The 23,186-nt window shown below is 47.0% G+C and overlaps 1 pseudogene across 1 annotated transcript; it reads right to left on the reverse strand.

Moving 5' to 3' along the window:
• Positions 1-859: 859 nt before the first annotated feature.
• CYP4F24P (cytochrome P450 family 4 subfamily F member 24, pseudogene) lies at positions 860-21,514 on the reverse strand (annotated as a pseudogene). The gene is made up of 10 exons (NR_033864.1): positions 21,239-21,514; positions 15,810-15,863; positions 15,589-15,716; positions 14,148-14,400; positions 13,562-13,683; positions 12,512-12,781; positions 11,439-11,505; positions 11,111-11,240; positions 2,341-2,423; positions 860-1,946 (listed from the first exon to the last, which is right to left on the reverse strand). The product of NR_033864.1 is annotated as a cytochrome P450 family 4 subfamily F member 24, pseudogene (transcript).
• Positions 21,515-23,186: the final 1,672 nt, after the last annotated feature.

The raw sequence follows: 23,186 nt of genomic DNA on the forward strand, positions 1-23,186 counted from the left end.
CCAAGTTGATGCAGGCAATGGTGATAACCGAGGTCACACACAAGTTTTCTCCTTCCTGGTTGCTGTTATGTGCCTGCAGAGGTTATAATGGACTCTGTCAATTGGCCTACAGCCAGGATGTGAAGCTTGCAAAAGAGCACTAGCTGCAGTGGTAGCAGTGGGATTTGTGCTTGTCTTTTGTAATCTCGTTTGTCTATTTCACCTTTGTTGTCTGTGCTGTTGAGTTCTTATCAAAAAAGTTCTTGCCCATATCAATGGCCTGAAGAATTTCCCCAATGTTTTCTTCAAGTAATTCATAGCTTCAGGTCTTGCATTTAAGTCTTTAATCCATTTTGATTTGATTTTTGAATACAATAAGAGATAAGAGTTCAGTTTCATTATTCTGCATATGGACATCCAGTTTTCTCACCACCATTTACTGAAGAGATTGTCTTTTCCCCATTGAATATTCTTGGCACCACTGATCTTTGACAAAGGTACAAAGAAAATGCAATGGTCCTGTACAAGAAAATATAATGTATTTGGAGATCAGAATCAAGGACAAGGCGACTGAGTGTAACAAGGGAGGGATATCGGCTGGAGAGATTTGACAAGTCAGCAGGGTGCAGAGATGCAGAATTCCTTAAGCTATGAACAGAGGTCAGCTTTACTAGTGGGACATTATTTTAAGACATTAACTGAGGATTCTCTCCTTCTCCTACCACCCTGCCACATTTTAGGTGCTTTTACCACTCTTGGAAAAAATTGTCTCCTAAATGTACAGTCCTCTAAAAATGAAGAGATTATTCAAGAAGCACAGATATTGGAATTTTTGCCTATGAGTTCCAAAACAGTATTTAAAGTCATGGTAGAAAAAAACTATCTTGAAAGGCAACATGCTTTATTAACCAGACTTTCTCAGAGAGCAGGTAATAATGGCCGTATTTATTGAGCATTCAATGTGCACCAGGCACAGTTCTGAGTCTCTCATATTTTGTCCTCAGGAAAACCCTGACAAAGGTAGCATTGTTGTCCCCATTATATGCTTGAGAAAACTGAAGAAAAGAGAGGAGAATTAACTTGCCCAAGCCACACAGCAAAGCTGAGACTTGAGCCCAAGTAGTCTGGTTCCAGATGTCATGCCTTTGGGATGGTGTTTTGCTTCCAGTCATCTGGCTTTGGATCTCAAGGGTCAAACAGGATGGCCCTGACTGCACCCCACCCCAACATGGGCAGGTGATGGGAATGAAGGAGGAACCTAGAGGTGAAAGGGTGGGGATGTGCTGAACCCCTGACATGTGTGAGGGTGCCTGGCACATAGCAGAGGAGAGTAGGGGGAGGATTCAGGTAGTATCTGTTGGCCAGGCTGCCTGGGCAGAGTCAGAGGGTTCAAAAGAGGAAAAAAAATGGAGCTGTCTGAAGGTAGGGGAAGGGGGTTCACAAAAGCGATCAACTTGAAGGGGGAGACGTAGGGTGGGATGCTGGCAAGAAAGGGAGCTAAGAATTCCTAAAAGCCTACCAGGATAGAAGCTGCACCCTTCTATCCCTGTGTTCTGAGCTGGCTAAGGACCTCGGTCTTGGGACACTCCCAAAGCATGGAGGCCCTATGATCAGCCAAAGAGGCAGTCAGGTTCTTGGGTTCAGTGACAACACCCCACCTAACCCGCCCAGGTTATGCCCCTTCCCTGACGCCTCCCAGTCCTCAAGAGCCCCCTGCTGGCTGTCAGTAGAGGCCCAGGCACAGTTTTATTCCGGAGAATCTGGAAAGGCAGGTGGATGGGTCAGAGGGTCACTGCAAGCCCGCGTTCAGGGGCTCCACTCGCAGCCAAAGTCCTCCTTCAGCGCGCATGATCAGCTCCGGCTTCCTGCGGGGCTCCGTGTGGTCCAGCAGGAAGCGGAAGCGCAGCAGCGTCAGCGCCAGGACCACCTTCATCTTCGCCATGGCGAACGCCTGCCCGATGCAGTTCCTGCGGGTGGGAGTGGGGACTGTGACTGCGCCCAGGATCCGCATTTGGGCCCCATCACGCCGGAAACCTGGCCCGGGATCCTCAACCGCACCCAGATCAGCCTGAGAGATAGAGAGGGGCTGAGCATGCGTGGGACCCCCCTGTGGGTTTGCATGTCCCCCAGAGCCTGGGCCAGACTCCAGCTCCCAGCTCAGACCAGCAGATGGAGGAGGGGATTCTGAGCACTCTGCGGACCCTCTAGGACCTACTCACCCCCATTCTATGGACATTTTCCCATAAACTGTGAAGGAATGGAGGGAAAGAGAACTGGAACTGGGACCATCTGCAAACTTCCCCCTTTTTCGACCCTCGCACCTATCACCCCATCCCCATACCAGACACAGGTGGCCCTTACCTGGGTCCCGCAGAGAAGGGAATAAAAGCCAGAGGTGACCTCTCCTTGCTGTTCTCTGAGTTGAAGCGGAAGGGGTTGTAGACCTGGAGGTAAGACCAAGAGGGCTGCTGGGTGGGGTCTCCCAGGTCCAGCAGCCTTGGAAAGACAGTTGTGTGTGTGTTGGGGCGAGGTGATGTTGGATTTTCCTGATCAAAACCCTGCCTCCTCCTCTAGGAACCTTGGAATTGACAAAGAGGGCAGGGGGTCGGGGGTGGATGGGAAAGGCAGCACCTCAGGATCCGGTCACACAGTTGGGTTGTGATGGATTCCTATAATGTTGATGATGCAGATAATGCCTGTGGGAGAGAAGGTGGCAGTCAGGACAAGGATCCCCCTGAAGGACCCCTCTTCCTACCCGGGGGGCTCCTCCCCATGAGGCTGTGAGCATCTTTGGGGATGACCCTACCATCTGGGAGCACAATGTCCCAGATGCGGTGGCGGGAGGTGTACGGAACAGGGGGATGCAACCGCAGGCTCTCCTTCACGCACATGGTCAGGAAGGGCAGCTGGGCCAGGTCGTACCTAAGGCAACACCCCAGCCCCAATCATTATCAAGGGAGCAAAGACACACTTCTCCAGCTTCTCTATTTCCAAGTGAGACCTTTTCTCCCTGTAACAAAATAAACTCCACATGGATCAAAAGTTTGAGAATTAGAAAAACAGAAAAAATTAGAAAAACAGAGAATTAGAAGTACCAGAGAAAATTTAGCCAAGTAGTTAAAAATATATACTCTGAGGAAAACACACCCAGAAGCCAGCTGAAAAAAGTTAACAAATTTGCATAAAAATAAATATTGTCTATGGCAAGAAAGCAAACTCAAATGCAAATGAATAAGAAACAAAATACCCAGATCCAATGTTTTGCTCTTATTTCGCATGGAACTAGAGATACCAGCAAGTGCAATTAGGCAAGGGAAAAACAAGAGAGTCATGCAATTTGAAATGTGGGAGTAAATGTATCATTTTGGCAGATAGTGATGTTATACTTAGAAAACACAGGAAGCTCCACTGGAAAACGTTTATAAACGTTTAAGATCCAGTAAAGGAGCTGAATTATCTGCTTAATCTTTCTTCTTTTGCCTTGGCTATTTAAAATTTTAATACCATCTAAACCTATCTGATTCAGAATTTGAAAACTGTAAAATATAATCCACTCCTATGGCCCAATGCCATCTACTTCTCCCCACATGTTGCCCAGGTTATTATTTTTTTAATGTGTCCTTCCTGTGCTAATATTTAGTATATTAAAAAAATTATATAGGAGCACACCATCTACTATACACTAGTATTCTGCATCTTTTTTTTTTTTGAGACAGAATCTTACTCTGTTGCCCAGGCTGGAGTGCAGTGGTGCAATCTCCGCTCACTGTAATCTCCACCTCCCAGGTTCAGGTGATTCTCCTGCCTCAATCTCCTGAGTAGTTGGGGCTTCAGGCCTGCACCACCATGCCTGGCTAATTTTTTTGATTTTTAGTAGAGATGGGATTCCACCACGTTGGCCAGGCTGGTCTTGAACCCCTGACCTCAGATGATCTGCCCACCACAGCCCACCTCAGCCTTCCGAAGTTCTGGGATTATAGCCATGACCCACCGTGCCTGGCCTATATCTTTTTCTCATTTAACAGTTTATCACTTTTTCTTAGCCCCTGGAACTTACGTCAAAATAAGGTTATCCCTACTCTGGAGCTATGAAATAATTTTCTCATGGTTTCATCTAGGGCTTTTAAGACTCTTTTAAAAAAATTTTATTAATCTGGACATTATCTTGTCATAAGACATGAGAACCAGCTTGTTGCCTTTTTTCCAGAAGGCTTTCCAGTTGTCCCAAGAGCTTTTACTTATTTTTTCTCTTGATACACAGCATCATCTTTAGCATGTACTGTGTTCATTGGGCACAGAATTTATATGTATAAATCATTAGTTTTTCATGTAGAAATAACCACCAACTGAAAAGATGATAATAAAAGATGCTAGTCATAATAATATAAAATACCTGGATTAAACTTAAAAAGAAACATGAAATCTCTGTATTTTATTATAAATTTCTCTCAATCCAAATAAAAGATACACTTTACCATGGCAACAAATGTATGTAAGGGGTGATTTAAAAAAAAGTCACTCTACCAGCTATTAAAACCTATTAAGAAGTTGCAGTAATAGCAATAGTCTGGCAATGCTGTAAGAACAGAAAAACAGACCTATTCAAAAGACTAGAAAGCTCAGAGACAGACAAGTGAATAAATGAAAACTTCCCATCTGCTGAAGGAAGCTCTACGAAACTCTGGGAAATAGATGGGTACTATGGCTGCAAAAGAAAATGTAGACGAACGAAACTCTGGGAAATAGATGGGTACTATGGCTGCAAAAGAAAATGTAGACGAATTTGACTTCATAAAAATTAACCAAAAGTACCCTCAAACAAGTCAAAAGGCAATCTTTTGCAACAAAAGACAGAAAAAAAGATTATTGTAATACACATCCTTTTAAGTAAGTATGAAAAAACAACCCGAAGAAAAACAGCAAAAAAAAGAAAAAAAATGTAAGATGACCAATCCCATAGAAAGAAAACAAATGGCGTATCAACTTGGGCAAAAGATGTTCTTCTCCCTCTTATTTAAGAAAATGTTCATTAAAAGATGAAATATTAAAATTGACAAAAACTTAAAATTTAATAATACAGTAATGCTATTGGTGAATTTATGGGGAAGTTTAAGCTTATGCCATCAAACTCAGCTAATATAGGAATGGATTTGCACTCATTTTTACAATTGTAGAATGCAAATGGTCTTTGATTCAGCAATTCCACCTTTGGGAGTGTGTCCTACAGAGATGCCCACACATATAAACAGTGGTCACTGTACACACATGCCAATTGCAACAGGTTTAATTTAGCAAAAGGCTAAAATGAGCCAAATATACATGGATAGGAAGATATTTAGATAAACATCCACACAATGGAATAGTATACAGCTACACAAAAGGAGGAAATAAGGATCACTAGTCCTGTCACACAATGCAGGCTAGAAGGTGAATCAGTACAGAGACTCTGAAAGGCAGATTGACAATTCCACAATAATTGAAAATGTTTACACAAGTGACTTCAAGAAAGGGACAGGCCAAATAAAGTATGGAATGCTATTCAGCAGTCAAAAAAATAGCTATCAGACACACTGTTGAGTGGAAAAAAAAGTGTTCCAAAATGTCTATATATATATCTCATAGTGCAAAATATATATGGAATATATAAGGAGATAGATGATAGAAAGTTATGTAGATAGATGGATAAACAAACAGACAGACAGATGACAAATCAGTATCTCTACAGGCCCCTTTGGAGAAAGGGAGGATATTAGGTGGGGTAGCAGGAATGTCAAGGATAACCCTTGTCTTATCTGTAATGTCTCATTGAGTGCAAGAAGAACCTGTTCTTTTGTAATTCAAACTCATTTTTTTGTAATTCTCATTATAAACTCATTTTCCATGTGGTATATATACAAAATGGAGTGCTATTCAGCCTTAAAACAGAAGAAAATTATTTCATTTGTGATAGCATGGAAGAACCTGGAGGACATTATGCTAAGTGAAATAAGCCAGGCACAAGAAGACAAATAGCACGCGACCTTAATTACCTGTGAGATCTGAAATAGTTAACATAGAAATCAGAGAAACTGAGAAGAGAATGGTGGTTACCAGAGGAGGGAGGAAGAAAGAGTGGAAAGACGGTCAAAGGGTACAAGTTTCTGTTAGACAGGAGGAATAAGTTTTGAGACCTATTACATGCATGGTGACTACAGTTAATAATAATATATTTTTCAAAATTCCTAAGAGAGTAAATTTCAAATGTTCTCACCATAAATATGATGAGTATATGAAATGGTGGTTATGTTTATCAGATTGACTTAATCATTCCACATTGTATACATATATTATAACGTCACATTGTACCCCATAAATATATATAATATTAATAAACATAATAAATAAAAATAAACTTATTTTCCAAAACTCATATTTTGAGAAAAAGAAAAGAAAAGAAAACATCTTGCTGGGTACAGTGGCTCACGCTTATAATCCCAGCACTTTAGGACACCGAGGCAGGTGGATCACAAGGTCAGGAGTTCGAGACCAGCCTGGCCAACACAGTGAAACCCCGCCTCTACTAAAAATACAAAAATTAGCTAGACATGGCGGCGGGTGCCTGTAATACCAGCTACTCAGGAGGCTGAGGCAGGAGAATTGCTTGAACCTGGGAGGTGGAGGTTGCAGTGAGCCGAGATCGCGCCATTGCACTCACTCTAGCCTGGGCGACAGAGCAAAACTGTCTCAAAAAATTAAAAAAAAAAAAAGGAAAGATCTCAAAAGATATAGTGTTAATGTGCAGATCTGTGACACTTTATTTCTTTTTATTTCAACAGCATTTGGGGTACAAGTGGTTTGGTTACATGGATGAATTCTACAGCGGTGAATTCTGAGGTTTTAGTGCACCCATCACCTGAGCAGTGTATACTATTCCCAATATGTTGTCTTTTCTCCCTTATCCACCTCCCAACCTCGCTCCCTAAGTCTCCAAAGCTGATTATATCATTCTGTATGTATTTGTGTCCTCACAACTTAGCTCCCACTTAGAGGTGAAAACATACAGTGTTTGGTTTTCCATTCCTGAGTTACTTCACTTAGAATAATGGCCTCCAGCTCCATCCAAGTTGCAGCAAAAGACATTATTTCATTCCTTTTTACGGACGAGTAGTATTCCATGGTATATATATATATGTCACATTTTCTTTATCCACTCGTTGGTCGATGGACACTTAGGTTGGTTCCATATCTTTACAATTGTGAATTGTGCTACTATAAGCATACATGTGCCCGTATCTTTTTCATATAATGACTTATTTTCCTTTGGGTGGATACTTAGTAGTTGGATTACTGGATGGAATGGTAGATCTACTTTTAGTTCTCTAAGGAATCTCCTTACTGTTTTCCATAGAGGTTGTGCTAATTTACATTCCCACCAGCAGTGTAAAAGTGTTCCCTTTTCACCACACGCACACCAACATCTATTGTTTTTTGACTTTTTAATTATGGCCATTCTTGTAGAAATAAGGTGGTATCTCATTGTGGTTTTTTCATTTGCATATCCCTGATGATTAGTGATGTTGAGCATTTTTTATATGTTTCTTGGCTATTTGTGTATCTTCTTTTGAGAATTGTCTATTCATGTCCTCTGCCCACTTTTTGATGGAATTATTTGTCTTATTCTGGCTGATTTAAGTTTCTTGTAGATTCTGGATACTAGTCCTTTGTCAGATGCACAGTTTGCAAATACTTTCTTCCACTCTGTAAGTTATCTGTTTACTCTGATGATTGTTTCTTTTGCTGTGCAGAAGCTTTTTAATTCAGTTAGGTCCCACTGATTTGTTTCTGTTTTTGTTGCATTTACTTTTGGGGTCTTAGTTATGAATCCTTTGCCTAGGCCAATGTCCAGAAGAGTTTTTCCAAGGTTATCTTCTAGAATTTTTATGGTTTCAGGTTTTAGATTTAAGTCTTTGATCCATCCTGAGTTGATTTTTGTATAAGGTGAGAGATGGGGATCCAGTTTAATTTTTCTACATGTGGCTATCCAGTTTTCCCAGCATGACTTATTGAATAGGGTGTCCCTTTCCCAATTTATGTTTTTGTATGCTTTGTGAAAGATCTGTTGGCTGTAAGTATTTGGCTTTATTTCTGGGTCCTCTATTCTGTTCCGTTGGTCTAAGTACCTACTTTTATACCAGTGCCATGTTGTTTTGGTAACTATAGCCTTGTAGTATAATTTGAAGTCCAGTAATGTGATGCCTCCAGATTTATTCTTTTTGTTTGTTATTGCTTTGGCTGCACAGGCTCTTTTTTGGTTCCATATGAATTTTAGAATTGTTTATCCAGTTCTGTGAAAATGATGATGGTGGTTTAATGGGCATTGCATTAAAATATGTAGGTTGCTTTGCATGGTATGGTCATTTTCACAATATTGATTCTTCCAATTCATGAGCATAGGATGTGTTTCCATTTGTTTGTGTCATCTACGATTTCTTTCAACAGTGTTTTGTAGTACTCCTTGTAGAGATCTTTCACCACCTTAGTTAAATATATTCCTAGGTATTTTATCTTTGGAACTATTTTTTTGGCAGCTGTGTGAGTCAGAGGGCAGTTCTTAGGTCACTGGGGTAATGTTCCAGAGGTGAGTATAACTGCCTCTGCCTTGCAAAAGAGCTTGCAAAGGGAGTGGAGAGTAGCAGGTGGCAGTAAGCCTCATCCGGCTCCCATGCAGTTGGCAAGACTGATCTCACTCCTGCAGTGCTCCACCCATAGCACTGGATTTAGATCCAAGTAGTCTATGCACAGAACTCAGACCTGCCCCAGGCCATAAGCTTTTCCCCCAGAGATAGCAATACTTTTAGGCCATGCCCCTTTTTGTCCCTGTCCAAGGCCAGGCACCCAGCTCCTGCACTCCTGTCTGCAGTACACTTCCCGCTTGCCCCCTGGGTTCTGGTCAAGGGAGTTCATCCCCACTTGAGGTTATATCAAGAAATTCAGTTGGGCATTTCAACCTGTGACCCCTGCCTGAGCTAGTTGGCTGGCTTCTGCAAGGTCTCCTGTGAGATATAATAAGGAATGGCTTCCCTCAGTCCATGCTGGAGATTGGGAATGCCTGCAAGGCACTTTCTGCTGCTGCTTCTATTTTTATATTTCTTACCACTCCCTAAATCAGTTCCAGCTCTGGGTAGAGTTAAGGCCTCCCCCTGTGGTCTGGCTTTTCAGACTCCCCAGTGAAGATGTGTACCCTGGAGGCAGTCTCTCCCCCTCTCACACTCTGGGGATTCACAGTTTTTCACCTGTCTCACAGAGTAGGATGCAGCCTGCAGCTTCTTTTGAAGGGTCTATGGATTCTTTTGGGTTTCCTGTTAAGCCTCTGTGTTGTTTTTTGGGGAAAGAAAGTTCACAGTGTGAATCTCTACATACTTTTTTGTCCTTCCACAGGGGAGAGACACACTGACATTGCCTCCAATTCATCATCTTGGAAAAGAAATGTTGTGTCTATTTTATATACTCCTATTTGTATAGAAAAAGTCTGTGTTCATATAAAGTGGGCATCAAGATAACCATTTTACTGGAAGGACACACAGAAAACCATTGATGGTAGAAACCGCTAGTGTGAGACTTAAGAAGGAAGCTCATTTTTTATCATAAATTTATGGATTTTTTTTGACAGAGTGCACAATTTTGCTTGAAAGCTAGGTTTTTAAAAGCATAGAAATGTGTTGCCACTTCACAGGACTGCTGGGCTGAGCAAAGTCTTGGACGGGAGGACACTGCCTTCAAAACACCTGTCCAGTCCATTGCCTCCTCTCCATCCCCAGCCCCTGGCCTGGCTCAGGTCCCAGAATGTCCTCACTGGGACTTCATTCTACAGCTGATCCTCTCTAATATGCTCTCCACAGTAGTCCTGAAAGGATCTTCCTTCTGCCCAGATCTGGCCTACCCCTCCCCTGCTCACCCACTTCCTATGGCTCCTAATTGCCTTTGGGTTAAAATGGAAGTCATTAACATTTTTTCCATGTCTTCCACAGCCAGGCTCTGCTGCCACCTCCATTATTATTATCTCATCATGACTCAGTTTCTCCCTCTCTCATTCTCTGTCTCGTTTTCTCTTCCCTCCTCTCTTTATCTCTCTCTGTCCCTCACTTTCCCTCCCTCTTCCTTCTTTCTCCCTTTATAACCTTCTCCTTCCCCCTTACACAAACAACTCCTTCTCTTTTTCCCTCTTCTCCCTCTCTCCCACCCCTGCTTCTTTCTGCATCTTTGCCAAGGCTGTCTTTTTGACTTAGACCACTACTGCATGCAAACGTCTACTGATCATCATTCAGGATCTCAGTTAGAATACTTTTATTTATTTATTTTTACTGTTTTAGAGATGGATTCTTTCTGTATTGCCCAGGCTCATCTTAAACCTGACCTCAAGTGATCCTCCCACCTCAACCTCCTTAGTACTTGGTATCATGGGCGCCAGCCACCACATCTGGCGTGAAACACTTACTATATTCTCAGTCTGCTTCTCTTGTTCTCAATACCATCCTTGTCCATGTGGACAGAGAAGTCCTACCTGAGACTCTTCCCACTAGGCTGGGAGTACCTGAAAGACACATCCCTGGACAGTGTTCTTTCCAGGTATCCAGGGAACAGAAAGGTGCTGGGAACAGAACTGGCATTGGTAAGACATGTGGAAGAGTTTGCTGAATGAAGACTGAATGGATGAATGATGCAGGTATTCTAGAAAGAGATAGATGACTTTTACCCCCAGGTCTCCTTTACAACTCCCTGGACTGGACTGGAGGGTAGGAATTAGGGAACAGAAGAGCAAACATCCAGGAAGTGAAGATGTTTGAAAAAAATGATAATTCAGAGAAAATAAGAAGTGAGTGAAGGGAAAATTCATTGACTGAACATGTCTAGGTGTCATCATCTGCCTTCACATATTGTCACCAGCTCTCTCAGCAGGCTAGGACTCTCTGTCCTAAAAGCCTGAAAACTTTCCCCTGCTAGCCAGGCTGGATATCAAGTTCTGCCTCTGGGCTCTGCTCCTAATACTACTAAGCAATAATGGAAGAATTGACAAAAACAACTTTCTCCCTTCCCACTTGGGGAGCAGAGCCAATGACGGGCTCAGGAACAGGCCAGAAGAACCTGCACTCACCATTCAATCTCTTTAGGATCGCGGTCCTTCAGAAGCTCTTGCACCTCCTGCCGGCAGTGCTCCTGGTATTCTGGGTGCCTCGCGAGGTTGTACAGGACCCAGGAGAGACCACTGGCTGTGGTGTCATGGCCTGAAGGGGAAGCAGGCAGGCTTGGGTCTCTGGGCTGCTTCAGCACCAGAGGGTGGACAGCGTCCATGCATTGAGGCCCTCAGGGAGGATGGAGGGAGGGGGAAGATAGGCAGAATTGAGTGATCCAGGGCCCACCCACCATGTTCCTGAGATGAAAGGACCCCTGTCCTCACTGTAGTCCCACACTGGCAGCCTCACCTGCAAACATGAAGGTGTCAGCCTCTGCTCTTACATCCTCATCTGACAACACCTTCCCATCTTCATCCTGAAGGGAAAGCAAGACAAACCCTCCCCCAAATTTACTATCTCTGAGACTCCCGAGTCTCACCTGAGACAATCTCTGAAGGTCCGATCTTCTTCCAGAAACTCAAACCCACTCTGAATGTCTAGATCTCTCTTGTTCACCATCACCAGAGCCCCCATTCCAAGGTCTTCCCCCCAGCTCCTTTGCCTTGTCTTTGGTCCCTGGTGGGAGGAATCAATGACTCGAATATTTTCATATTTCTGTATAATGAAGACTTTAAGAGAAAAAGATACTGGCAACTTGGGGTACAGGAAGTTTAAATGGCAATTTGCCTTGGAGGTTAAAAATTACATATTGCTTTAAAGATATTTGCTCACATTCTAGAGTGGTAAACTCAGAGAATCTTATCTTTCCAGAAGATATTTGGATTATAAACCTATAGAAATTGCCATCTCACTGGAGAGTAGTAGTTTATACTCCTGAACAAAGCATTCTCTCTCTCTCTCTCTCTTTCACCCTGTAAAAAAGAAGGAGCATATGAACTAACTGTCCTATATAAGATATAAGACTCATAATGTGGGGGCCCCTCTCCTATGGTGCAAATTCTTGTACATTTACAGGTAAAAACATTGTGTTGCCCTAGAAATGGGGAGCCAGCACAACAATCCTACTCCTCCCACTGTTACTGCTGTAAATAATTAATGGGCTGCTGTAATCCAGGGGTTTGGTGCATCTGTCATCATAGATATAGACATAGACGAAGACATAGACATAAATAAAAATGTGAAAGACTAACTTACTAACTTGTAAGTTGAGTAAAATCGCACGTTCTTCACAGTTTCAGAATTAGCAGTCCCCTGCGGGCTGCATTCAACAGAATCATCTCTAAAACCTATCTGTGACCTTCCCTTTCTCAAGCATCTTCCATGGCTCCCAGTGCCCTCTGGATGAAGTCCAATTTATTTCATCTGACATTTGACATAAAGCTCCATTCTATCACTGTAATTCAGATCGTAGAGAAACCCACCTTGCTCAGCAGAAGCACATCAATGAAATCCAAAGTCTAGGACTTGGCTTTGTTCTTGAGGAAATCACAATACCCTGAGTGGGAAGGGTATGGCGCCGCTCCTGGATGACGGCATCTGTGAAGTCGTGCACCAGGCGGCAGGCCCTGCGGAAGCGCCACCCGTCATGGGAGAGGTAATACAGAAAGTCCATGTGCTGGAGGATATGCTGGTTTCTTTTTTCTACAAGGGCACTGAGCTCCAAGATGGTAGCAATATATTCACTGGGCCTCCTGCAGGCCAAGGGCAGAAAGGGAGGCAACAATGTAACATATGCAAAGCCCAGGAACACCTCCCACCAGCAGCCAGGAGCTACCTCCCATCAGGAAACTGAGTATCTAGAAACAGATGGTCCTAGAGATACATGATGGGTATCTGTCCTGAGATTGACTCTCTAGACTCTATTCCCTCCCTGCATCCTATCTCTGAGAGCTGTCTCCATGCACCTAGGTACCCGGAGTGTAGCTTGGACACCATGTTTCTCTCATCTCCCATCCAGTATCCAGTACTGATCATATTCCTTACCAAAACTGTCCACACAACTCAGACTTCATCCTCTTCCACTTCAGCCCGACTCCAGCCCCCACCATAACCAATTTGTACCCAATGTCAGCTCCATGTAGTGTCTACACTACTGTCAGATTCCCACACAGCTCAGCTCTTACCACAGCCATCATCAGCTGAAACTCCTTCAAAAGCTCCCTGGGACCATCTTGATAAACTTCATACCACTTTTCCTGATTTTCAGTGTCCCTAATATCTAATCCTATTTCCACAACCACATTTCTACTGTCTGTTGCATATGCTTGGCTCATCCTAACCTTATTACTGTTACTCAAATATTTCTACCTACCTGGAAAGACAACACTTTCTCCCCTTCCTTGACCTTAAAAGCCCAGCTATGATACAAATCCTCCCGAAAGGTACTTCTGGTTACTTTGCTCATTCCTCCCTCCCCAACTTTCTCCCTTTGGTCCATGGATTCACATCCCAGGCCCTGGGAAGGAACTCACTCCTGACAATGGCTGTCAAAGCTGAAGATGCATTTCTGCAGACTGTCCAAGGTCATGAGGCTGATGTGCTCAAACATGTCCAGACGACTGCTGCCCTCTGAGGCCAGGTGCTGCCACTTGTCCTGGCCAGAGAAATGAAGACGGCTAGAGCTGGGCCCTGCCTCCTTTGTGCCCCTCCCCAGTCCCAAACATCAGGATGGACTCCCCCACAACCAGCCTCCTGGTCCTCTGCCCCAGGAACCCATTGCCAGTGAGGACCAGACTTGGATGCGAGCAGAAGCTGTTAGTATAGGAGATGAAGACCCATGGCTTGGAGTCAAGAGACCTGCATTCAAGTCTCAGCCTTGTCTCCTATGTTCTGTGTGCCCTTGGTCAATCTATTGCCCTCCTCTAGGTCCCACATGTCAAATATTCAATAATGGTCAAGATGATCTGCTTTGGGCCAGATAAACCAGGACAGAATCTCTGCTCCACCACCCCTAGATCAGTCTCCTAGCTGGAGACTGGTTGAACTGTTTCCAGCTCGCTAACCTCTCTGGCCCTCAGTTTCATCATCTGCAATTGGGCAAAAATAACCATAACTCACAGGGTTATTAAAATTAAATTAGACACATATGTCATGGAACGGGGACATGACATTGTTTTAGGCCTATGGTGAGTGCTCAGTAAATGTTCTCTTCACTCTTCTCCATTGTTACAAAGTCATTTCAAAAATATCCCTGTGTTGGAAGAGGCACTTCTTCATCAGCCCTGAGCATCCTTGCTGGGCATGCCAAGAATGCAAGGCCATGATGTTCTTACTTCAGCCATTTTTCAGAGTTGTGTTTGCAGGGAACAACCTGGAGAGATAAGGCAATGAATCCCCCTGGACCAATATCAGGCTTGTTTCTGCTACTATTAAAGCAGATTCCTTAAGCCTAATGCCCATTGTCTGTCATGCAATGTACTGCATGAGCAGGCAACTAGCAAGGCCCACTGTGTCACCCCCATGGAATTTAGGTTGACTCCGAAAAAGGATACAAACCAACAAGACATACATGTTGCTTGCTGTGCCTGAGTAATCAACTACCCTTTGTCTCTGACCCAGGGGTCTTGTGTCTTCTATTAGAATGCATGAAACAGTAACAAGCTAACTTATCAGCTTGCAAGTAAAAGAAACATCCTAGGCATATCACAAAATCCTGACCCCCAGTTCTTCACTTCTCTTTGTATTTACACCCTTTGCGCAGTAATTTTTCAGCAGCTTCCATTAATAGATGGATTCTATTTTACATCCCTTTTAGTCTGTGCTGGACATTTGATTTTCTTTGGCCAATACAGTGTGGTGAACATGATGATGTAATAACTCGAATAGCCCCAAGGCTGGTTGAACTTTGAAGATTGCAGAGACAATGTCCAGAAATATTGCAGCCTCCTCTCAGTTTCTCGGAACCCAGTCTCTGCCATGTGAACAACAGGGTGCCTTCTGGAGGCAGAGAATCACATGGGGGAAAGTCCAGGTGTCACAGCTGAGGCCATCCCAGATCAGCCTGAAGCTAGTGAAGCCCTAAACATGTGAATGAACTGGACCAGGATCAGCAAAGCTGCCTACATGCCCCACAGCTGCTCATGTACCAAAGTTGATCGCATCTACATCCGGAAGAACCAGCTAAATGTCTCACAGACTCATTAGCAATCATAAACCTTTATTGATCTAAACCAATGGGTATTGAAGTGGTTTGTAATTGGTAATGGCTACTATGCAATCTTTGTCTTTACTTTTGCATTTACCTGGCTTCTGTGAAAGGAACATGGAATCTGACACCTTCTGAGTATCTACTATGTGCTAGGGACATGATTCGTTTGCATTATCTTACCACCTTTTAAGTAGGGATTATCATCCCCATTTTACAGATGAGGAACTCAAGGCTCAGAGAGGAACAGCAATGGCCTAATGCTACCCAGCAGAGCCAAAATTCCAGACCAGATCTGTCCATGGTCCCTCCACCCCAAGACTCCTGCTGGGACCCAGAGTTCAAGGAACTCACGTGCATGATGTTCACACTCCTGTTGAAGATCTTTATATAGGGTTTCAGGATGTTGAAATGGAAGGCGGGCGTCAGCATCCGACGGTGGCGGCTCCACTTGTCACCGCCACTCAGCAGTATCCCTTCTCCTAGTAGGGCAGCCAAGGACAGTGGGCAAGAGCAGCACCTTCCCCACCCCTGCTCAAGGTTGTCCCCAGCCCCTTTCACCTGCAGGTACTCACCCAGCCAGGGCTTCAGGAACCTGATGGAGAGATCATCCTTGGGCGCAATAGCAGCTGGCATGAATGAGGACCATCAGGGGCCATGTAGAGGGCAAGAGAGGAACTTCAGGTATAAGGCAAGGCTCCCTACCAGCACTTTCCCTACTCCATGCCCAGCATAGCAGGAAGGGGGCCAAGGGCAAAGGACGAAGGGAGGATAGAGGAAGAAGGACCAGCCCAGGCTGCAACAGCACAGTAGAGCAATGACACAACCTAACAGGGCACAGCACTCCCCAGCACGCCTTGACATGGCTCCTATATATCCCAACATGTTCTGCAACAACTGAGCACAGCTCCACACTCTACAAAATATCTTTAAAGGAGCCTAGGACACCCTGTCTGCCCCAGCACTCTCTGTCATCTCCTGAAATGGACCTGGGACCTGGGGCATGTCTCCAATGTTAACATGCCTGACATGGCCACAGCATACATGATGAGCCCTAAATGACACATCGTCTGACATGGACCTAAGATAGTCTTGCATGACTTCTGTGTACCTGACAGGCCCCAGATAGGATTTAAATATGATTTATTAAATGTCCTGGACATGTCCCAGGTGTAACCAAGACTTCTCTTCAAGCATGATTGGAATGGATTCTGAGACCTGGCTCAGGAAGACTAAAATAATAACTCTGACAATTCTCAAAGGGACCCTGGGTCCCAGATCTTGGACAAGCCACAAACATGGCCAAGAGATGACAAGAAGGAGAAAAGACAATTTCAAACCACATGTCAGAGAAGAACCAGAAAGGCTGGGACATGCCCCAAGTGTCCTTGGCCACAGCTGAGCCACACACATGATGACTTCTCCATATGATCCCAGGTAAAACATACGAGATATAATCAGGTATAATATAGAAATCGTAGGCTATTTATGGGACCCCTTGGGGAAAGGTGAGCTTTCTGACAAGAGCTGAGCTTCCAAGACCCATGGTTGACACCATAAGAGAAGGGCTGCCTTAAAAGAAAAAGTGACTTCCACAATGGTTGAAAGTATAATAATAAAAGAAAAGAAAAAAAAAAAGAAAAGGTGATGCAGAGAAATGGTGAAATTAAAAGGAGACAAATTCCTGATGCTGTACATTGACACCTGGATCCAGCCATGCCTGAAGACCACTTTCTCTGGACTTTACACTCCGTTGATTCCCTTTATTTGCTTATAGTGCACAAAGTTGAGCTTCCATCACTCACAGGTGAAAGAGACCTCAGCAGCCAGAGAGAGCAGGTGACCTGCACAGAGTCACTAAGCATTTTGGGGTCAGAGCCATAGTTTCTGTGGGACGTTGCTCCTTCCCTTCTCAGCCTGGTCTGTCCAAGGATGGGAAGAGCAGAGAATAAGGGAAGATCAACAAGCTGGTGTGGGATCTCTACTGGAGATTCTTGAGGCCTACAGGAGGACAGCAGTGAGCGTAGGGTGGATGAGTGACAGGATAAGGTAGAAGGAACTGACCCATCATAGATGGATGTCACATAAATAGCAGCCCAGAATCACCACCAGCGACAAGTCCTCCTACCGCTCTAGGCTGAAGGATGGACAAGGTTGGTGCCAGGACTGGCTGGGCCCCCAAATACCAATGATGCTCATTACATCATCCTACCCCACACTTAAAAAAATTCCTACTCATAGGTCCAGACCCAGCTCCAACAATTCCTCCTCCAGGAAGCCTTCCAGCCTGCCGCAGCAGAACCCTAGTTCTCCTGTGGGTTTTCACACCCATCTCTCTCTTGCCCATTCCTGACCCCATGAATTTGGGGTTGTCTCTGTCCAGATCCATCTCCTCAAGTGTGGAGGTTCCTTCAGGACAGGGTTCTGGATTGAGGCTTCCTGGGGCCCTGGTGGTTCCCAGAACACCAGAGCAGGGGGTCAGATGGCAAAGGAGTTGGAAGACATTGAGATGAAATTTGGCAAATACATGAAGGAAAGCAGAAGATGCCTCTTCTTCTTTCAATGGAGGGAGAAGAGAGAAAGAGGGGCCTGGGAACTGCAGGGGCTTCACAGAAGCCTAGGGGAGAAGGAGCTGGAAGCCCTTGGATGGAAGCCCCAGCACCCACCACCACAAGCTCTGCATGGGTACCTGAGGCATTGGTGATAGACCGGACGATGTCAGGGTGGCATAAAACGATGAAGGGGAAGATGGGACCCAGCCATATCCTAAAGCCCTGGGGATAGGTGGCTGACATCTGGGTCAAGTTCTTCAAGCCTTCCTCTGTAGCAATGATCTGAAAGCAAGTCAGGGGCCATCACCCCTTGTGATGGTTAATTCTAGGTGTCCACTTGACAGGGCTAAGGGATGCCCAGATATCTGGTCTAACATTATTTCTGTGTGCGTCTGTGTTTCAGGAGAGATTAGCATTTGAAGGTAAACTGAGGAAGGAAGACCTGCCCTTCCTTATGTGGGTGGGTGTCATCAAATCCATTGAGGGCATGAACAGGACAAAAAGGCAGAGGAAAGGGGGAATTTGCTCTCTCTTCTGCAGCTGGGACATCCGTCTTCTCCTGCCCTCAGAACTCCAGGTTCTCAGGCCGTTTTGGACTCAGGCTGAATTTACACCACCAGCGTCCCTGGTTTCTGGCTTGCAGATGGTATATCATGGGAATTCCTGGCCTCCATCATCACATTATCCAATTCCCATAATAAATTCTCTCTGTCTCTTTCTGTCTCCATACATACATGCATTAGAGGTAAGAAGAAATTCCCATCTAAGGAGATTCCATTTCTAGGGAGAACCCTGACTAATGCACCTCCCTAGAAGGAGCCACGGCAAGTCCCCCTGCAGCCACCAGATGTGGTGCAGCCTCTGCAGTGAGCAGCGTGTCTGGATTCTCAACAGCTGCAGGGGGTTTCTGCTGACCTCTGCTCCTTCTCTCTTGGGGCTGTCCCAGGATCCGAAGGTAAATACCAAAGCAGAGAGGGAAGACAAGCTGTCTGCTCAAGAGGATGTGTTTTCTCATCCTGGAATGATTTCAGTCTGGGGATTGCTTTATAGGGAAAGGTCCCCATGGGAGGTGGTTTGGGACGGCAGTGTGGCCTCAGGACATATCCCTAGGGCAGATTCCCACATCCTTTTGTGTCCTGGCTGGTCCACATGGGCTCTGGTTCCCCCCACAGATAAAGGGTCTGCACACTGAGGACCCCCCCATTCTCAGCAGCCCCCAGGGAAGCAGAGGTGACTCTAATGTCCCTCAGGATGGCAGCTCCCACCTGGGAGAACCCCCCCTTATGCCAGGCTCTGTGCTAGTGCCTCCTGTGCACCTGTGGACATGCCCATCAATCCTGCCATTTATGAGTGAGCAGACGGAGGCCACGTCCCCCAAAGGGGAGGGCAAGTCCAAGTAGGAGGGCAAGGTTTGGGAGTGTCAAGGACGGCTTCTGAAAGGGGAAGAGAGTGGCCAAATTATATCCCGGTTGAGCTACAGGGCTCATTGGGACATCTGAGTGGGGAAGAGCACGTCACCCCTGGAAGGGGAAGGTGTGGGAGACTGCCTGCACTTCTCTTCTGGCCCAGCAGTGTCCCTCCATAGGGGAAGGAAGTCAGAGCTAATTCCTGTGGGAAAGCAGCAGCCCAGAGATGAGCAGACACAAGGAAATGGGTCAGGCAGGGAGCAGCCCCTGGATAGTGGGCTCAGGAGGCCTCAAGTCCAGAGTGGAGAAGGTGGGGATGCCAGGAGAGCCCTGCTCTGTGCCCCACAGTACTGCAGGAGCCCCTTGGAGGTGCACTATTGTAGGAAAGACAGGCAGCAAAAGGATCCAGACAGGCTGGGGTGGGAGGACAGGTAGGTGAGAAAGGCTTGGGATGGAACTACAGAGGAATGAGTGAGTGAGGAGAGGAGTGAGTGAGTGAGGAGAGGAGTGAGTGAGTGAGGAGGGGAGTGAGTGAGTGAGGAGGGGAGTGAGTGAGTGAGGAGGGGAGTGAGTGAGTGAGGAGGGGAGTGAGTGAGTGAGGAGGGGAGTGAGTGAGTGAGGAGGGGAGTGAGTGAGTGAGGAGGGGAGTCAGTGAGTGAGGAGGGGAGTCAGTGAGTGAGGAGGGGAGTCAGTGAGTGAGGACGGGAGTGAGTGAGGAGGGGAGTGAGTGAGGAGGGGAGTGAGTGAGGAGGGGAGTGAGTGAGGAGGGGAGGGAGTGAGTGAGGAGGGGAGGGAGTGAGTGAGGAGGGGAGGGAGTGAGTGAGGAGGGGAGGGAGTGAGTGAGGAGGGGAGTGAGTGAGGAGGGGAGTGAGTGAGTGAGGAGGGGAGTGAGTGAGTGAGGAGGGGAGGGAGTGAGTGAGGAGGGGAGTGAGTGAGGAGGGGAGTGAGTGAGTGAGGAGGGGAGTGAGTGAGTGAGGAGGGGAGTGAGTGAGTGAGGAGGGGAGTACGTGAGTGAGGAGGGGAGTGCGTGAGTGAGGAGGGGAGTGAGTGAGTGCATGGGTAGAGGAGTGAGTGAGTGCATGGGTAGAGGAGTGAGTGAGTGAGGAGAGGAGTGAGTGAGTGCATGGGTAGAGGAGTGCGTGAGTGAGGAGAGGAGTGAGTGAGTGCATGGGTAGAGGAGTGAGTGAGTGCATGGGTAGAGGAGTGAGTGAGTGAGGAGAGGAGTGAGTGAGTGAGGAGAGGAGTGAGTGAGTGAGGAGAGGAGTGCGTGAGTGAGGAGGGGAGTGAGTGAGTGCATGGGTAGAGGAGTGAGTGAGTGCATGGGTAGAGGAGTGAGTGAGGAGAGGAGTGAGTGAGTGAGGAGGGGAGTGAGTGAGTGAGGAGGGGAGTGAGTGAGTGAGGAGGGGAGTGAGTGAGTGAGGAGGGGAGTGAGTGAGTGAGTGAGGAGGGGAGTGCGTGAGTGAGGAGAGGAGTGAGTGAGTGCATGGGTAGAGGAGTGAGTGAGTGAGGAGAGGAGTGAGTGAGTGAGGAGAGGAGTGAGTGAGTGAGGAGAGGAGTGAGTGAGTGAGGAGAGGAGTGAGTGAGTGAGGAGAGGAGTGCGTGAGTGAGGAGAGGAGTGAGTGAGTGCATGGGTAGAGGAGTGAGTGAGTGCATGGGTAGAGGAGTGAGTGAGTGCATGGGTAGAGGAGTGAGTGAGTGAGGAGAGGAGTGAGTGAGTGAGGAGAGGAGTGAGTGAGTGAGGAGGGGAGTGAGTGAGTGAGGAGGGGAGTGAGTGAGGAGGGGAGTGAGTGAGTGAGGAGGGGAGTGAGTGAGTGAGGAGGGGAGTGAGTGAGTGAGGAGGGGAGTGAGTGCATGGGTAGAGGAGTGAGTGAGTGAGGAGAGGAGTGAGTGCATGGGTAGAGGAGTGAGTGAATGAGCCGCCTCCCTCGCTTCTCTGCCGGCCCACACCTCAGCCACCCTCTAAACCCAGCTCCTTGATCCCCCTTCCTGCCCTTTGGGAATTCCATCCACCCTGAGATCCCAGAGTCATCCTGCTGCCACACTCACGAGGTCCTGGTTGACCCCAAAACCATTTCTGTTTTGGGGGTTGTGGAAAGTACTGAAGGCGGCGGCAGTTGTCATAGAAGGCATAGGTCCAGGCCAGGAAGCCGGCCAGGAGCCGGGAGGCCCCAGCCAGCAGCAGGAGCAGCCACGGGAATGCTGCCACCTGCCCGAGGCCCAGCCAGGACAGGCTCAGCTGCGGCATCCTGCAGGGCAGACAGGATGGAGGGTGAGATCCTGAGGCCCAGGGAAAGTCTCAGGGAGCTCCAGGGACAGTGGAGAGAAGCAGGGAAGGGGTGGGTGGAGGCAGGAAAGGGAGGGCTCTGGGATGAATAAACAAGGACTGAGAGCTAAATTCCAGAAAGCCCCAGCCAAATCCAATAGCCAAGTGGCCTCTAGTTGCCTAGTAACCACCCAGAAAGGAGAAGAGAGAGAGAGACTGATTAGAGTCCAGAAAGGCCCAGCCTGAATCACTGGGAGGTTGCCAGGGGTCCGGTTACCAGGAAACCACCAGTCTCCCAGGCCAGCAGCCTGGAGACACCCCAGCCTTGGGCAGTGCCCCTCCCCATCCCAGGCCAGGAGGCTCCAGTCTGACCACCCCCAGCCTGGCACCTTCTGTCAGGAGCAGCTTGTACCACACAACCTCCTCTCCTCTTCTGCTGGGAGTTCTTTGCCTCTGGCCCCTGATTTAGGGAAAGGTCGTGGGAGGCTGGGCTGCGCTGGGCTGGGCCAGTCAATCTCCACAGCCTGGGTGCATCTCCCTTGCCTGGGAGATGCCGGCCAAAACCTGGGGTTTGGCCAGCTGGGTGCAGAGGAACCAGCTCAGGGTGCCCCAGTATGGGGACTGGATCCTCAGGTCTCAGCATCTCCCTCACAGTTTAGAGGGGAAGTTGGGGAGTGGTTAAAGGGGACTCTGAGCCCCAAGTTTACAGCCACCCTGCCCTTTCAAGGCAAGGATGTGGCAGGTAAAAGCATGAACTTGAGAGTTCACAGCCACCTGAGCTGGGCCAGGCCAACCCTTGTCCCAGATCATCTGGGCTCCTCTCCAAACATGGGCGGGGAGGATGTCAGGTGCTGCATCTTGGTACAGACTTAGGAGATTCAGAGACAGAAGCCTCTCATCTCTGGCTTCACAGCCTGGCAAGAGTTCAAGTCCTGCCTCCAGGCAGCCCAGGGCCTGAGCTGAGACCTGACTGCTTGAAGCAGGAAGAAAGAATCCAGTCCCAACCCTGCTGAGGATTACCTGGGTCAGAGTCTGGGGATAAAGAGCCCAGCTGGAGGAGCAAATCTAGAGGCTGGGCTCAGCTTAGAGGACAGAGCAGAGGCATAGGGGATGAGGCTGAGAGGGGCTGTGAGCAGACGGGGTCCAGGCAGGGGAGGGCAGAGCGAGGGGACCCCGAGTGTAGTCCTTGTTCTGACCTGTCCTTTCTCTGACTGTGGGCAATGTGGCCATCCTGGGCTCAGGCTTCCCATCTGGGAAATGGGATGTCAGATGAGGCCTTAGAGGGCGACAGAGGAAGGCTCCTAAGAAGAGAGAGCTCCAAAAAGAGGGACTGAAGGGAAGGGGATGACAACTAGCACTTGAGCTGCTGTGTGCCTGTCTCTACTCCATGCGAAAGACTGTATGGAAAACACTACTGTGTGTACCTACTGCGTGCCAGTCTCACTATATAAAGTGCACCTACTGTGTATCAGGTACTCTACATAAATTCTGTCTACTATGTGCCAGGTACACCACATAAACCTCACCTACTGTGTGCAGCATGCTCTACATAATGTAAGCTTACTTTGTGCAGAGTACTTTATACAAAGCGTGCCTACTCTGTGCCACATGCCATATATAAAGCATACCTACTGTGTGCCAGGTGCTCCACATAAAGAGTGTCTACTGTATGCTGGGCGCCCTTCACAAATCCTGTATCTTGAGTCCCTGGTCCTTTATATAAACCATGCC

Source organism: Homo sapiens, chromosome 19 (assembly GCF_000001405.40).
Source record: "Homo sapiens chromosome 19, GRCh38.p14 Primary Assembly".
NCBI classification, from domain to species: domain Eukaryota; kingdom Metazoa; phylum Chordata; class Mammalia; order Primates; family Hominidae; genus Homo; species Homo sapiens.